Here is a 16,595-nt window from a genome sequence, read left to right as displayed (position 1 = left end):
GAGTTCAAGACCAGCCTGGGCAACCTAGTAAGACCCCAACTCTATAAAAAGGAGTTTTTTTTTTTGAGACAGTCTCACTCTGTCACCCAGGATAGAGTGCTGCGGCATGATCTCAATTCACCGCGGCCCCTGCCTCCTGGGTTCAAGCAATTCCCCTGCCTCAGCCTCCCGAGTAGCTGGGATTACAGACGTGCACCATCATGCCCTGCAAATTTTCATATTTTAGTAGAGACGGGGTTTCACCATGTTGGCCAGGCTGGTCTCCAACTCCTGGCCTAAAGTGATCTGCCCGCGTCAGCCTCCCGAAGTGCTGGGATTACAGGTGTGAGCCACCATGCCCGGCCTACAAAAAAAATTTTTTTAATTAGCCAGGCATGGTGGCATGTGCCTGTAGTCCCAGCTACTCAGGAGGCCAAGGTAGGAGGATTGCAGCTCAAAGCTGCAGTGAGCTGTGATCAGGCCATTGCATTCCAGCCTGGGTGACAGAGTGAGACCATCACAAAAACAAACAAACAAACAAATAAATAAATAAATAAATAAATAAAAAATCTGGGCCTCCCACCAAGGGTGGGAAACATCAGAAAGCTCAGAGGACCACACCTGCCCGTTCACCTGTCCTGGGCTCCTGCTGAAGCCAGGGCTACCAGATGGGGGCAAAAGACCTCCCTTACGCAAGTCCCAAACCACCATTACCTCCCACGAGTACAGGGAGGCGGGGTGTTCGTGCATCAGGTACGGCCACCAGAGGTTGGCACCCAGCACCTTCAGCTGGCCCTGGGTCCCAGCCTGGTTGTCCACGACTTTGTTTTCTGCATTCAAAAGACACACTTCCAACTTGAACTGGTTACTGCACTTGACGGAGATCTGGTAATTCACCAGCCCTGCAGGAGGCAAGAGAGACCAGGGCTTAGGGAGGGACATGACCTGGGTCACACAAACGGGAAGGCCCCACAATGACCACTCCCAGGCACTCTCATTTGCTTCTGTTGCTTTTTTTTTTTTTTTTTGAGATAGAATCTCGCTCTGTCACCCAGGCTGGAGTGCAGTGGCATGATCTGGACTCACTGAAACCTCTGCCTCCCAGGTTCAAGTGATTCTCCTGCCTCAGCCTCTGGAATAGCTGGGATTACAGGCACCTGCCACCACATCCAGCTAATTTTTGTATTGTTAGTAGAGACGGGGTTTCACCACATTAGCCAGGATGGTCTTGATCTCCTGACCTCGTGATCCGCCTGCCTCGGCCTCCCAAAGTGCTGGGATTACAGGCTTGAGCCACCGTGCCCGGCCCTGAACCAATGCGCCCAGCCCGCTTTTAATTTAATTTTTTAATTTTTTTTTTTTTTTTTTTTTTTTTTGAGATGGAGTCTCACTGTCACCCAGGCTGGAGTGTAGTGCTGCGATCCTGACTCGCTGCAACCTCCACCTCTGGAGTTCAGGTGATTCTCCTGCCTCAGCCTTCCGAGTACCTGGGAATACAGGAATGCACCACCATGCCCGGCGAATTTTTCTATTTTCAGTAGAGACGGAGTTTTGCCATGTTGGCCAGGCTGGTCTCGAACTCCTGAACTCAGGTGATCCACCCGCCTCAGTCTCCCAATAGATTAGATATATTATTAATGAATTGCTTCCTTTAACACCCTATTCATTGAATTTTCCAGTAAACCACAATTACTAATTACTCCTGAAATCAGAAAAGAGGTTAAAAAGATTTTATAACAGTATCCTATGAAATCTACTACTTTCAAGTAATAGTAGTTGAATTACCAAAACCCGTCACTCAAGCCAATGACTACAATTAAGATATGAGTAACATTTCCTAGATAAATAAAGTCAATTAATTATATTTGCATCTGGGAAATAGAGAAAGTACATATAAGCCATGATTTTGAAGTCAAAAGAGAGAGAATATTTGCCAAGGAGGGGTGAGTTATAGTATGTAATTATAACATACAGAAGTTTTTTGTATGCTGGTAACTAATTTTAATTTCCTACATTTTTATGTAGATTTCTGCTATTCTTGTCCTATTTTCCTAATCATCTTTCTATATGAATGACTACATAATTCTGAGAATACCAAAAGAGACAGACACAGAACCAATCGGATTCCTTTCTTCTTGAAGCTTCTGCACAGCAAAAGAAACTATCAACAGAGTGAACAGACAACCTACAGAATGGGAGAAAATTTTTGCAACAATGCATGTGACAAAGATCTAATGTCCAACACTGATAAGGAACTTAAACAAATTTACAAGAAAAAAAAAATCTCATTAGAAAGTGGGCACAGGACATAAACAGACACTTCAAAAGAAGACACACATGCGGCCAACAAGCATATGAGAAAAAGCTCAATATCACTGATCATTAGAGAAATGCAAATCAAAACCACAATGGCATACCATCTCACACCAGTCAGTATGGTTATTATTAAGAAGTCAACGCCGGGCATGGTGGCTCACGCCTATAATCCCAGCACTTCAGGAGGCCAAGGCAGGCAGATCGCATGAGGTCAGGAGTTCCAGACCAGCCTGGACAACCTGGCGAAACCCCGTCTCTACTAAAAATACAAAAATTAGCCCAGCGTGGTGGCGGGTGCCTGTAATCCCAGCTACTCAGGATGCTGAGGCAGGAGAATCGCCTGAACCCGGGAGGCAGAGGTTGTAGTGAGCCGAGATCATACCACTGCACTCTCCAGCTTAGGTGACAGAGCGAGACTCTGTCTCAAAAAAAAAAAAAAATATTTGAATTTTGTTTAAATCGCTAACACATACTGGGCATTTAATAACAAAAAAAAAAGGACATGAGATTGTGATCCTTATGAAGGTTTGAGAGGCATTTCACTAGGGTTCAACATACAGCAGTCTGAAACATACTGTAATAATTTAATCCAATGGCTCATCTACAGCACCTAAAAAGATTACAGCAGATTCTCATTATTCAGTGTAGTTACGATCTACAAAGTTCCATGAACAAATAAAAAGTTAGGTTTCAGCAAGCTACTGGTCACACTTTTGTAAGCTTACCAACACCTACTTTTGTTGTATGTGTGCTTATTTAATATATATTGTTGGCCAGGCACAGTGGCTAACGCCTGTAATCCCAGCACTTTGGGAAGCCAAGGCGGGCAGATCATTTGAGGTCTGGAGTTCGAGACCAGCCTGGCCAACGTGGTGAAACCCCGTCTCTACTAAAACTACAAAAAAAAAAAAAAAAAAAAAAAATTAGCCAGGCATGGTGGCGCATGCCTGTAGTCTTAGCTACTTGGGAGGCTAAGGCAGGGGAATCGCTTGAACCCAGGAGGCAGAGGTTGCAGTGAGCCAAGACTGCACCACTGCACTCCAGCCTGAGCAACAGAGTGAGACTCTATCTCAAAAAAAATAATAATAATAATTAATTAAATGAAGAATAAATAAATAATATACATTGTTCATTCATTAACATTGAACTCACAGCCAACGGCACTACAGCACTCACGCCTGAATGGAGTTTATTTAATGCATGTATTTTCTCTGTAAGACACATCACAGACTTCTTGGACTTGTGAATGCTAAGCAGCACTTCAGCACTATGCTTGGGGGTTAATTTAAATGGCAAAACAACCAACAAACAGTACAAAAACAGGAAAAGCATGGCATTAAACAGACCACAAAAAGGATACCTGACTATTGTATGAGAGCTGAAAAAGAAGGCAGAATATCATCCTGTTCAAACTCAAATTCTTTGACACTCTGCGCAAACACATGACTATGAAAGTGCTGTGAGTACTGATTTGGGGGTTACAAAAAATAGTAGGTGAGTTCACAAATACAAAAGCTGAAAACAAGGAGGATCGACTGTATTTTCGTAGACAATCTAATCTCAGAAGATTTCAGTTCAGACAAAAATCATGATAATTACTGTATTACAAAAGGGCACTAGATAGGGGGAAAAGAGTAAAAATCACAATTAAAACAAAGGTTCAAAATTCTGCAGCAACCATATCCAGTTACACTTTAATATGTTTGTGGCAGACTACATTATTGTTCCCAACTCATCACCCCTCCCTATATCTAAAACCTTTCCCCAAGACAATGCAGTTCCTCCTGCTAGAGATCAGGTATATTTATCTATACTATCAATGTTAGCCATGGACAAGGTATGTGCTTTGGCTGACTGAATGTTAGTGGACATGAGAGAAGCAATGGCTTAAAATGTACTTCCAGAACTGGAGTTTCCTTGTGATTCTATCACTGTGACAAAAACACATTCTCAGGTAGTCCACTGATCCAAGGGGGAACAAACACACAGAAAACATACCTAGACTCTATCTGCAGCTTGCAGCCTCACCAAGCCAAGAACAGTCAACTCACAGATATGTTAGCAAAAATAAATGTTTTTCATACCTTAAGTTTTATATAATTATTGACCTACAGTTAACTGATATACAATATACATTAATCTTAAAATATCATTATCCCATTAAAAATACTTACATTAAAAACTGAGACCACTTTCTTTCCTTTTTTTTTTTTTTTTTTTAAATTAAGAGACAGGGTGTCTCAATGTTGCCCAAGCTGGAGTTCAGTGGCTAGTGGCTATTCACAAGAACGATCATCGCACACTACCTCAAACTCCTGGGATCAAGCAATCCTCCTGCCTCAGCTTTCCAAGTCGCTGGGACTATAAGTGTGTACCACAGCATGTCAGCTCTCTCTCTCCTTCTTGACCTAAAGCCTAGCATAAAATTAGCTAAGTAGAATGTTTCCAAAGATGCCTGCATCAGTATCTCCCATCCCACATAATTTCTGTTTGATTTTGCCATTCACCCATAAAATGGTGGGATCTACCTCCCCTCCTTGCAAATTTGAGCTGGCCCTCTGATCCTGTCTAAGATCTGAAGCCAGATATTAAGGTACTTCATTAATTTCCATGTTTGTCCTCTATGCAACCTAGCAATCAAGCAAGAAGTCAAAACATACTGACATAGTTTGGATGGGTCCCCACCCAAATCTCACCTTGCATTGTAATAATTCCCACGTGTCAAGGGTGGGGCCGGGTGCAGATAACTGAATCATGGGGATGGTTCCCCCCATACTGTTCTCGCGGTAGTGACTAAGTCTCATGAGATCTGATGGTTTTATAAATGGGAGCTCCCCTGCACATGCTCTCTCCTGCCTGCCACTATGTGAGACATGCTTTTGCACCTCCTTGCCTTCCACCATGATTGTGAGGCCTCCCCAGCCATGCAGAACTGTGAGTCAATTCAACCTCTTTCCTTTATAAATTACCCAGTCTCAGGTATGTCTTTATTTGCGGTGTGAGAACAGACTAATACAATAAGTTGATACCAGTAGAGTGGGGTGCTGCTGTAAAGATACCCGAAAATGTGGAAGCAACTTTGGAAATGGGTAACAGGGAGAGGCTGGAACAGTTTGGAAGGCTCAGAAGAGGATAGGAAAATGTGGGAAAGTTTGGAACTTCCTAGAGACTTGTTGAATGGCTTTGACCAAAATGTTAATAGTGATATGGACAACAAGGTCCAGGCGGAGGTGGTCTCAGAGGGAGATGAGGAATTTGTTGGGAAATGGAGTAAAGTCACTCTTACTATGCAAAGACACTGCAGGCATTGTGCACCTGTATTAGAAACGGGCATAAGATAGGCGGGAAAGAGGGAAAATAAGAATTTCTTTCTAGAGTTCCCTACAGATCTGTGGAACTTTGAACTTGAGAGAGATGATTTAAGGTATCTGACAGAAGAAATTTCTAAGCAGCAAAGCATTCGAGAAGAAGCAGAGCATAAAAGTTCAGAAAATTTGTAGCCTGATGATGCAACAGAAAAGAAAAATCTATTTTCTCAGGAGACTGGGTTGTAGAAATTTGCATAAGTAATGAGGAGCCAAATGTTAATCACCAAGACAATGGGGCAAATGTCTCCAGGGCATGTTAGAGACCCTCACAGCAGACCCTCCCATCACAGGCCAGGAGGCTTAGAAGGAAAAATGGTTTTGTGGGTCCAGAACCCCCTGCTGTGTGCAGCCTAGGAACTTGGGGCCCTGCATCCCAGCTGCTCCTGCCATAGGTAAAAGGGGCCAAGGTACACCTCAGGCCATGGCTTCAGAGGGTGCAAGTTCCAAGCCTTTCAGGTTCTAGGTGGTGTTAAGCCTGCAGATGCACCAAAGTCAAGAATTAACGTTCATGAACCTCCGCCTACATTTCAGAAGATGTATGAAAATGCCTGGAAATCCAGGCAAAAGTTTGCTGTGGGGGGGAGGGGAGGGGGGGGCCCTCATGGATAACCTCTGCTAGGGCAGTGTCAAAGAGAAATATGGGGTTGGAGCTCCCACACAGAGTCCCCACTGGGGTACTGCCAAGCAGAGCTGTGAGAAAAGGGCCACCATCCTCCAGACCCCAGAATGGTAGATCCACTGACAGCTTGCACTGTGTGCCTGGAAAAGCTGCAGACACTCAATGCAGCCAGAAGGGGGGCTGTACCCTGCAAAGCCACAGGGGCGGGGCTGCCCAAGACCCTGGGAACCCACTTCTTGCATCACCTAGATGTGACACATGGAGTCAAAGGAGGTCATTTTGGAGCTTTAAGATTTGCCTGCTGGGTTTTGGACTTGCATGGGGCCTGTAGCTCTTTCGCTTTGGCCAATTTCTCCCATTTGAAACGAGTGTATTTACCCAATGCCTGTATCCCTGTGTATCTAGAAAATAACTAACTTGCTTTTGATTTTACAGGCTCATAGGTGGAAGGGACTTGCCTTGTCTCAGATGAGACTTTGGACTACGGAATTTTGAGTTAATGCTGAAATAAGAGTTTGGGGGACTTAGGGGAAGGCACGATTGCTTTTGAAATATGAGGACATGAGATTTGGGAGGGGCCGGGGAAGAATTATATGGTTTGGCTCTGTCCGCACCCAAATCTCATCTTGAATTGTAACAATTCCCATGTGTCAAGGGTGGGGCCAGGTGGAGATAACTGAATCATGGAGGCAGTTTCCCCCATGCTGTTCTCATGGTAGTGAATAAGTCTCATGAGGTCTGATGGTTTTATAAATGGATGTTCCCCTGCACATGCTCTCTCCTGCCCACCATGTCTGACTAAATTTTGTATTTTTACTAGAGACGGGCTTTCACTATGTTGGCCAGGCTGGCCTCCAACTCCTGATCTCGTGATCCGTCCACCCCGACCTCCCAAAGTGCTAGGATCATAGGCATAAGCCACCACACCCGGCCTCTTTTTTTTCTTTTTCTTTTTTTTATCTGGAGACTGAGTTTTGCACTCGTTGCCCAGGCTGGAGTGCAATGGTGCGATCTCAGCTCACTGCAGTCTCCACCTCAGCAGGAGAGCAGGAATCTTCAGTGATCCACGGGCAAATATGCAGCCATTGTGGGCACCTGTTCCTCCCGCGACCTTTGTGCCCACGTCTCTCCCTCCAGTACCTACTGCACGACCCCCCACGTCCGCCTCCTGCCATTGCCAGCAGGTGCCTTGCGCGGGTACCTGGCTGCGCTTATTCATCCATTATGGTCGCTCTGTCACTGGTGCCATTATGTGCTCACATGCCCACTCCCTCAGGTTTAGAAGTCGCGTTGCCCGGCAACAGAACAATCTGCTGGCTTAGCCTTTGGCCAAGTTGGCAGCTGGACGAGGACGCTCAGAGCCCAGCTCTTGAGAGTTCAAGTATCCGACAGTTCCCCACTGCTCCCAGGAGCGGTTACCCGGGCACTCTGTGCCCCTCATTCCTGTTTGGGCCAAGGCCGAGGACCTGCGAGTAGGGCTCAGTTGCCTGGAGCCCCTTCAGCCCATCCCCCAGTTCACTTTGCTTGTGGGATCTCCCCGTTGCTCCTGCCCCTGGACTGAGTGGCAGGCCATCCTACAAACACCCGCACACTCGACATCACTGGTGTCAAGACAACTCTAAGAAGGTTTTCCGTGATCCTGCAAGACCTGTGTTCCATCCTGGTGATTCTGTCTTCAATTTCACTGCACAGGTACCACAGTAAGCCAGTGCTGTGTGCTCCGAGTTCCAGGGCATCCCCCAGCTCAGCCACTACACTGAGCACAAGGACTCTGTGGGGCCCAGGAGCAGGTAGTCACCCCTTTGGGGTCCACAACACCCGGCTGTCCCCAGACTTGTGTCCAGGGAAGATAGTGTTGAGGGCCCTCAAGGAGAGCGGGGCAGGGATGCCTGAGCAGGACAAGGACCCCAGAGTCCAAGAAAATCCTGATGATCAGAGAACGGTCCCCGAGGTCACCGGGGATGCACGGTCTGCATTTTGGCCCCTGCGGGACAATGGAGGCCCCTCTCCCTTTGTGCCCAGGCCCGGGCCTCTGCAGACAGACCTCCACGCCCAGAGCTCAGAAATCAGATATAACCACACATCCCAGACATCCTGGACGAGCTCGAGCACCAAACGAAATGCCATCTCCAGCTCCTACAGCTCCACGGGAGGCTTGCCGGGGCTAAAGCAGAGGAGGGGGCCAGCCTCATCCCGCTGCCAGCTGACCCTCAGTTACTCAAAGACAGTGAGTGAGGACAGGCCTCAGGCTGTCTCTTCGGGTCACACACGGTGTGAAAAGGGGGCAGATACAGCACCAGGGCAGACAATCGCCCCAACGGGTGGCTCCCCCAGATCCCAGGACTCTAGGCCCCGTAGACGCAAGATTCCCCTGCTGCCACGCAGGCGAGGGGAGCCTTTGATGCTGCCACCTCCCTTAGAGCTGGGGTACCGGGTCACGGCTGAAGACCTGCACCTGGAAAAAGAGACGGCATTCCAGCGCATCAACAGTGCACTGCACGTTGAGGACAAGGCCATCCCGGACTGCAGACCCTCACGGCCTTCCCACACTTTGTCCTCACTTGCAACAGGGGCTTCGGGTGGGCCTCCCGTTTCTAAAGCACCCACTATGGATGCACAGCAGGACAGACCCAAGTCCCAAGACTGCCTGGGCCTAGTGGCCCCCCTAGCATCTGCTGCAGAGGTCCCCGCTACAGCTCCCGTGTCTGGGAAGAAGCACAGACCACCAGGACCCCTGTTCTCCTCCTCAGATCCCCTTCCTGCCAACTCTTCCCACTCCCGGGACTCAGCCCAGGTCACCTCGATGATTCCTGCCCCCTTCACAGCTGCAAGCAGGGATGCCGGCATGAGAAGAACAAGGTCGGCTCCTGCAGCTGCCGCAGCAGCCCCTCCCCCCTCCACATTGAACCCCACGTCGGGGTCACTACTCAATGCAGTGGATGGAGGCCCCTCACATTTCTTGGCCTCAGCCACAGCTGCAGCACGTGCCCAGAGGTCAGAAGTGAGATATAACCAGAGATCCCAGACCTCCCGGACCAGATCCTGCCTCAAACGAAATGCCAGCTCCAGCTCCCACAGCTCTACGGAAGGCCTCCAGGAAGTAAAGCGGAGGAGGGGGCCAGCCTCATCCCACTGCCAGCTGGCCCTCAGTTCCTCAAACACAGTGAGTGAGGACGGACCTCAGGCTGTCTCTTCGGGTCACCGCTGTGAAAACAAGGCAGGTACAGCACCAGGGCAGACACTTGCCCCCAGGGGTGGCTCCCCCAGATCCCAGGCCTCTAGGCCCCACATCAACACTGCACTGCACGTTGAGGACAAGGCCATCTCGGACTGCAGACCCTCACGGCCTTCCCACACTTTGTCCTCACTTGCAACAGGGGCTTCGGGTGGGCCTCCCGTTTCTAAAGCACCCACTATGGATGCACAGCAGGACAGACCCAAGTCCCAAGACTCCCTGGGCCTACTGGCCCCCCTAGCATCTGCTGCAGAGGTCCCCTCTACAGCTCCCGTGTCTGGGAAGAAGCACAGACCACCAGGACCCCTGTTCTCCTCCTCAGATCCCCTTCCTGCCACCTCTTACCACTCCCGGGACACAGCACAGGTCACCTCGCTGATTCCTGCCACCTTCACAGCTGCAAGCAGGGATGCCGGCATGAGAAGAACAAGGTCGGCTCCTGCAGCTGCCACAGCAGCCCCTCCCCCCTCCACATTGAACAACACGTCGGGGTCACTACTCAATGCAGTGGATGGAGGCCCCTCACATTTCTTGGCCTCAGCCACAGCTGCAGCACGTGCCCAGAGGTCAGAAGTGAGATATAACCAGAGATCCCAGACCTCCCGGACCAGATCCTGCCTCAAACGAAATGCCAGCTCCAGCTCCAGCTCCCACAGCTCTACGGAAGGCCTCCAGGAACTAAAGCGGAGGAGGGGGCCAGCCTCATCCCACTGCCAGCTGGCCCACAGTTCCTCAAACACAGTGAGTGAGGACGGACCTCAGGCTGTCTCTTCGGGTCACCGCTGTGAAAACAAGGCAGGTACAGCACCAGGGCAGACACTCGCCCCCAGGGGAGGCTCCCCCAGATCCCAGGCCTCTAGGCCCCACATCAACAGTGCACTGTACGTTGAGGACAAGGCCATCTCGGACTGCAGACCCTCACGGCCTTCCCACACTTTGTCCTCACTTGCAACAGGGGCTTCGGGTGGGCCTCCCGTTTCTAAAGCACCCACTATGGACGCACAGCAGGACAGACCCAAGTCCCAAGACTGCCTGGGCCTAGTGGCCCCCCTAGCATCTGCTGCAGAGGTCCCCTCTACAGCTCCCGTGTCTGGGAAGAAGCACAGACCACCAGGACCCCTGTTCTCCTCCTCAGATCCCCTTCCTGCCACCTCTTCCCACTCCCGGGACTCAGCCCAGGTCACCTCGCTGATTCCTGCCACCTTCACAGCTGCAAGCAGGGATGCCGGCATGAGAAGAACAAGGCCTGGCACCTCGGCTCCTGCAGCTGCCGCAGCAGCCCTTCCCCCCTCCACATTGAACCCCACGTCGGGGTCGCTACTCAATGCAGTGGATGGAGGCCCCTCACATTTCTTGGCCTCAGCCACAGCTGCAGCACGTGCCCAGAGGTCAGAAGTGAGATATAACCAGAGATCCCAGACCTCCCGGACCAGATCCTGCCTCAAACGAAATGCCAGCTCCAGCTCCCACAGCTCTACGGAAGGCCTCCAGGAACTAAAGCGGAGGAGGGGGCCAGCCTCATCCCACTGCCAGCTGGCCCACAGTTCCTCAAACACAGTGAGTGAGGACGGACCTCAGGCTGTCTCTTCGGGTCACCGCTGTGAAAACAAGGCAGGTACAGCACCAGGGCAGACACTCGCCCCCAGGGGTGGCTACCCCAGATCCCAGGCCTCTAGGCCCCGCATCAACAGTGCACTGCACGTTGAGGACAAGGCCATCTCGGACTGCAGACCCTCACGGCCTTCCCACACTTTGTCCTCACTTGCAACAGGGGCTTCGGGTGGGCCTCCCGTTTCTAAAGCACCCACTATGGATGCACAGCAGGACAGACCCAAGTCCCAAGACTGCCTGGGCCTACTGGCCCCCCTAGCATCTGCTGCAGAGGTCTCCTCTACAGCTCCCGTGTCTGGGAAGAAGCACAGACCACCAGGACCCCTGTTCTCCTCCTCAGATCCCCTTCCTGCCACCTCTTCCCACTCCGGGGACTCAGCCCAGGACACCTCGCTGATTCCTGCCCCCTTCACACCTGCAAGCAGGGATGCCGGCATCAGAAGAATGTTTCGTGTTCGAAACTGTTTGAGGGGTTTGGGTTTATTTTTGTTGGTTTTTTCTTTTTTTTTTTTGCTTACGTGGGCATCCTTCAGCTTTTAATAATCTGAAAAATTCTATTTACCCATTGTCAATGTGTATAAATTAATCTCAGTCAATTTTATACAATAAAAGGTGAACTTTTATCCATCAAACAATAATTTAACAAAAAATGTACCGGAAGAAGAATGTTCATTACAAATATAGGAAACATAAATATTACCAAATATTGGCAAGCACTAAAATGTTCAGAAATATAAGTCTATTACAGTTATAGCTCTCTCAAGCAAAAAAACAGCAGAGAAAAACTTAGTTTTCCTGAGGGGCTATTTATTTACTTAGGGATTTGTTAAAAGGTCAAATGGGGTCACACAGAATACTAAGAAGAGCTGTTCACCCAGGCCTCACTAAGAACTCTTCTTCATGCAGTAGCTATATAGTAATATGACAACTGCTCCTACGACCCAAAGAGGAACTACAGCAACTACTCTTTAGCATCTGTTGCTCCCAACTCTGCTTTGCAATTATATGACTCAAGCATTCTGGCTCCGTTAACTATTACTGCTGTTACTCCCAAGTAAATTCCCTCTAAAAAATAAAAATTTTTAAAGCTGTAATTTAAGCTCTCTGCTGCCTCATGACTTCAATTCCATCAGAGTTACGCATTGTTTCCTCTGTACATCTTTGCTCTGCTTCCATTGCTAATTCCCTAGTAAAGTGTTGTATATTCAAAGTTCCAAAGAAACAGAATATCCAAGACATCACCAATCATCCAAAACACAGTGTAGGAGGCCACAGTTAAGAGAAGCAACACCATTAGCTCTTTTTATAGGCTCGAGAACAACAGGATGCTTTGGTCCTGTATCAGCAGGACGCTTTTTGGGTAGATCCTACTGCCACCCTACTATCGGGTAGATCCTACTGTCACCCTAGCTATGGGCACATGTCAGAGTCCCATGTAATAAAGGAGACAAAAGGAAACCACCACGAGTATAAACTAAGAAAAGTACTCCAAGGTTTCTAAGAATGGAGCTGTATAACTCACTTTGCCCCATTTGTTACTTCTCCACGGTACTTACCACCACCTATTACATATATTTTGTTTATAGTCAGTCTTCCCCCATTAGAATGAAAGTTCCGTGAGGATAGGACTATACAGTCAGCCCTCAGTATCCATGGGGGACTGGTTTCAGGATCTCCTGAGGGTAACAAAGGATACTCAAGTCCCTGATATAAAATGACATAGTATTTGCACATCACCTTTGCACATCCTCCCATATACTTCATATCAACTCTAGATCACTCATAATATCCGATGTAAATGTCATGCAAATAGTTATTGTACTATATTGTGTAAGGAATAAGGACAAGAAAAAAGTCTGTACATGTTCAGTACAGACGCAATTTTTTTTTCCAATATTTCCAATCCTTGGTTGCCTTAACGGATGTAGAACCCAGGAATAAGTTCTGGTGTCCTATTGCATAGTAGGATGAGTATAGTTAACAATAACATATTATATATTTGAAAATAGCCAGAAGAGTAGATTTTGAATTTTCTCCCTACAGAAAAATCATTATGCAAATTACCCTGATTTGATCATTACACATTGAGTACATGTATTAAAACATCACATTCTACCCCATATATATGTACAGTTATTATGTGTCCATAAAAATTTAATGTCAATGTGTGAAATAAAATGAAAAAATAAAAATTTTTAAAGCTGTAATTATCTCCATCTGGTAGGAATATATACAATCTGAAATAAAAAATATATTTGTAATTGTTAGGACAAAATAGATTATACGTTAAGTCTGCAAATTATAAATTATAAAATTCTCACAGAACCTGAAAAATTATTGATACTGTTAAATATTTAAAAAGCTGTCCTTGGAGAGAAAGAAACCTATCAGATTTACATCAACAAGTGTAATATGTCAGCCTATTACCATCTGCTACAGACTGCATGTTTGTGTTCCCTCAAAATTCATATGATAGGCCGGGCGCGGTGGCTCATGCCTGTAATCCCAGCACTTTGGGAGGCCGAGGCGGGTGGATCATGAGGTCAGGAGATCGAGATCATCCTGGCTAACATGGTAAAACCCCGTCTCTACTGAAAATACAAAAAATTAGCCGGGCGCAGTGGCGGGCGCCTTAGTCCCAGCTACTGAGGAGGCTGACGCAGGAGAACGGCGTGAACCCAGGAGGCGGAGCTTGTAGAGAGCCGAGATTGTGCCACTGCACTCCAGCCTGGGTGACAGACAGAGCGAGACTCTGTCTCAAAAAAAAAAAAAAAAAAAAAAAATTCATATCATAAAGCCCTAACCCCCAAGGTGAGGATACTGGGAGGCGTGGCCTTTAGGAGAGAATTAGGTTTAGATGAGGTCATGAGAATAGAGCCCCTATGGTGGCATTACTTCCTTTATAAGAAGAGACACTAGAGCTGCTTTTCTCCCTACCATGTGAGGATACCGAGAGAAGATGGCCATTTCCAATCTAGGAAGCAGGCCCTCTTTAAGAAACACAATTTGCCAACACTTTGATCTTGCACTTCCAGTCTCCAGAACTGTGAGAAATATCTGTTTTTTTGTTTGTTTGTTTTTGTTTTTTTTGAGACACAGTCTCATTCTGTCATCCAGGCTGGAGTACAGTGGTGCGATCATGGCTCACTGCAACCTCCGCCTCCCAGGTTCAAGCAATTCTCCCACCTCAGCCTCCCAAGTAGCTCAGACTACAGGCGTGCACCACCATGCCCAGCTGATTTTCGTAGAGACAAGGTTTTGCCATGCTGCCCAGGCTAGTCTCAAACTCCTGAGCTCAAGTTATCCACCTGCCTCGGCCTCCCAAAGTGTTAGGAATACAGGCATAAGCCACCACGCCTGGTCAAAATATCTACTGTTTAAGCTACCTAATTTATGGTATTCTGTTTTAGCAGCTGAAGCAGACTAAGATACCATCCTATAAGCTACAGACCAGCACTATCCAATAGAACTTTATATGACGAGGAAATGTTTTATATCTGTGCTATCCCTTATGTTAGCCACTAGCCACATGTATCCATCAAGTATTTGAAATATGGCTAGTGCAACTAAAGAACTTAATTTTTAATTTTCTTTTTTTTTTTTGAGATGGAGTCTCGCTCTGTCCCCCAGGCTGGAGTGCAGTGGCGCCATCTCGGCTCACTGCAAACTCTGCCTCCCAGGTTCACGCCATTCTCCTGCCTCAGCCTCCTGAGTAGCTGGGACTGCAGGCGCCCGCCACCACGCCCGGCTAATTTTTTGTATTTTTAATAGAGATGGGGGTTCACCGTCTTAGTAAGGATGGTCTCGATCTCCTGACCTAATGATCTGCCCGCCTCGGCCTCCCAAAGTGCTGGGATTACCGGCGTGAGCCACCACGCCCGGCCAATTTTTATTTCATCTTATTTAAATAACCACATGTGGCTAGTGGCTAATGTATTGAACACTACAGCTGTAGACAATACGAAATAAATATAAAGCAGTCTCCACTTTGGAAAAACAGAAGACTCTTACTGCCTCATAGTATAGATTAAAAAATGAAATACTAAGACAAGTAAAACGTTCTTTAAAGAACAAAAACAAAAGAAAACCTAATGAAAGCTAAAAAAGTCCATTGGATAATAATGCTACCAGTACTAAGGAAGTACAGCCCCTAAAAGTGACTTGCAGTCACAAATATAAAAATGACTATTCAAGTGAACTCCTAAGGTGAAAATTTCTTATTCACCATGCTCCAAAATGGTCTGTAATATTCTTCAGAGATGGCATGGTAAAGTACGATAAAAGGGTAATATTAACAGTATGCTGTCACAGGTGCCATTCTCTTAAAAAAGAAATCCAAAAATAAATATAAATGGAAAGCAAATAATTAATGGAGTTTTGACGGTCAATCAATGGTAAATATTATTGGCATTAGATTTTTCTATTAATTATAGTTTACCTATGATCATGTATTTTTCCATTTAAAAATTACCCTAAAACTTAATGGCTTAAAATAACAAATATGTATGACACAATTTATAGAAGTCAGGGAAATGATGGATTTGGGTAGGTGGTTCTGACTCGAAGTCTCTCATGAGTAAAGGTTGCTGTCATGTTGTTGACCCAGGCAGCATCCCCTGAAGCCTTTAACTTGTGTTGGAAGGTCCGTGTCTTAGTTTGTTTGCACTGTCGCTACAGAATACCATAGACAGGGTAGCTTATAAACAACAGAAACGTTTCTAATGGTACCGGAGGCTGGATGGTGCAAAATCAAGGTGCTTGCAGATTTGGTGTCTGGTCAGAGCCCATTTTTTAGTTCATAGATTACTGTCCTCTAGCTCACATGGCAGAAGGGGCAAGGACGCTTTTTGGGGTCTCTTTTACAAGGGCACTAATCCCCGGCTGGGCACGGTGGCTCACATCTGTAATCCCAGTACTTTGGGAGGCTGAGGCAGGCAGATCACGAGGTCAGGAGTTCCAGACCAGCCTGGCCAGTATGGTGAAACCCCGTCTCTACTAAAAATACAAAAATTAGCCAGGTGTGGTGGTGCGTACCTGTAGTCTCAGCTACTCAGCTACTCAGGAGGCTGAGGCAGAAGAAACACTTGAACCCAGGAGGCAGACGCTGCAGTGAGCTGACATGGCACCACTGCACTCCAGCCTGGGTAACAGAGCAAAACTCTGTCTCAAAAAATAAATAAATAAATAAATAAAAATAAAAATAAAAAATAATAATCAAGGCACTAATCCCCAACATGAAGACAGACTATCATCTACCAAAAGCTCCACCTCCTACTATCATTACACTGGGGGTTAGGATTTCACAAATTCAGTGCATCATAGTCTGCTTCTAGAATGTTTAATCATTTGGCTGGATATCAGATAGGATGCCTCGGTTCTTCATGTGAGCTTTCTAGAAAAGATAGTTTGGAATTATTTGCATGGTGGCTGGGCTCGTAAAGAGTTGAAGGAGAGAAAGAGAGAGAAA

At 47.1% G+C, this 16,595-nt stretch overlaps 2 pseudogenes across 2 annotated transcripts in view, besides 2 other annotated features; one reads left to right on the top strand and one right to left on the bottom strand.

The window, feature by feature from the left end:
• The window catches only part of GUSBP16 (GUSB pseudogene 16), a 153,001-nt pseudogene that overhangs the window by 86,471 nt on the left and 49,935 nt on the right, over positions 1-16,595 (bottom strand). Inside the window, exon 4 of the transcript NR_146391.1 lies at positions 694-881. The product of NR_146391.1 is annotated as a GUSB pseudogene 16 (transcript). The remainder of the gene's footprint in view (positions 1-693; positions 882-16,595) is intronic.
• LOC101929599 (putative POM121-like protein 1-like pseudogene) lies at positions 7,233-12,227 on the top strand (annotated as a pseudogene). The gene has a single exon (NR_157804.1). The product of NR_157804.1 is annotated as a putative POM121-like protein 1-like pseudogene, transcript variant 1 (transcript).
• Positions 7,572-8,154: an enhancer, noted in NCBI's record as "H3K27ac-H3K4me1 hESC enhancer chr5:70073992-70074574 (GRCh37/hg19 assembly coordinates)". NCBI's record gives its function as "activates a minimal SCP1, AML or CMV promoter by ChIP-STARR-seq in naive H9 embryonic stem cells {active_cell/tissue: H9 hESC(naive)}" and the evidence as "EXISTENCE:reporter gene assay evidence [ECO:0000049][PMID:30033119]".
• Positions 8,155-8,737: an enhancer, noted in NCBI's record as "H3K27ac-H3K4me1 hESC enhancer chr5:70073409-70073991 (GRCh37/hg19 assembly coordinates)". NCBI's record gives its function as "activates a minimal SCP1, AML or CMV promoter by ChIP-STARR-seq in naive H9 embryonic stem cells {active_cell/tissue: H9 hESC(naive)}" and the evidence as "EXISTENCE:reporter gene assay evidence [ECO:0000049][PMID:30033119]".

This window comes from Homo sapiens, chromosome 5, assembly GCF_000001405.40.
Source record: "Homo sapiens chromosome 5, GRCh38.p14 Primary Assembly".
Classification (NCBI taxonomy): domain Eukaryota; kingdom Metazoa; phylum Chordata; class Mammalia; order Primates; family Hominidae; genus Homo; species Homo sapiens.
Note: the sequence above shows the minus strand (reverse complement) of the source record. Positions and strands in the feature narration are given on the sequence as shown.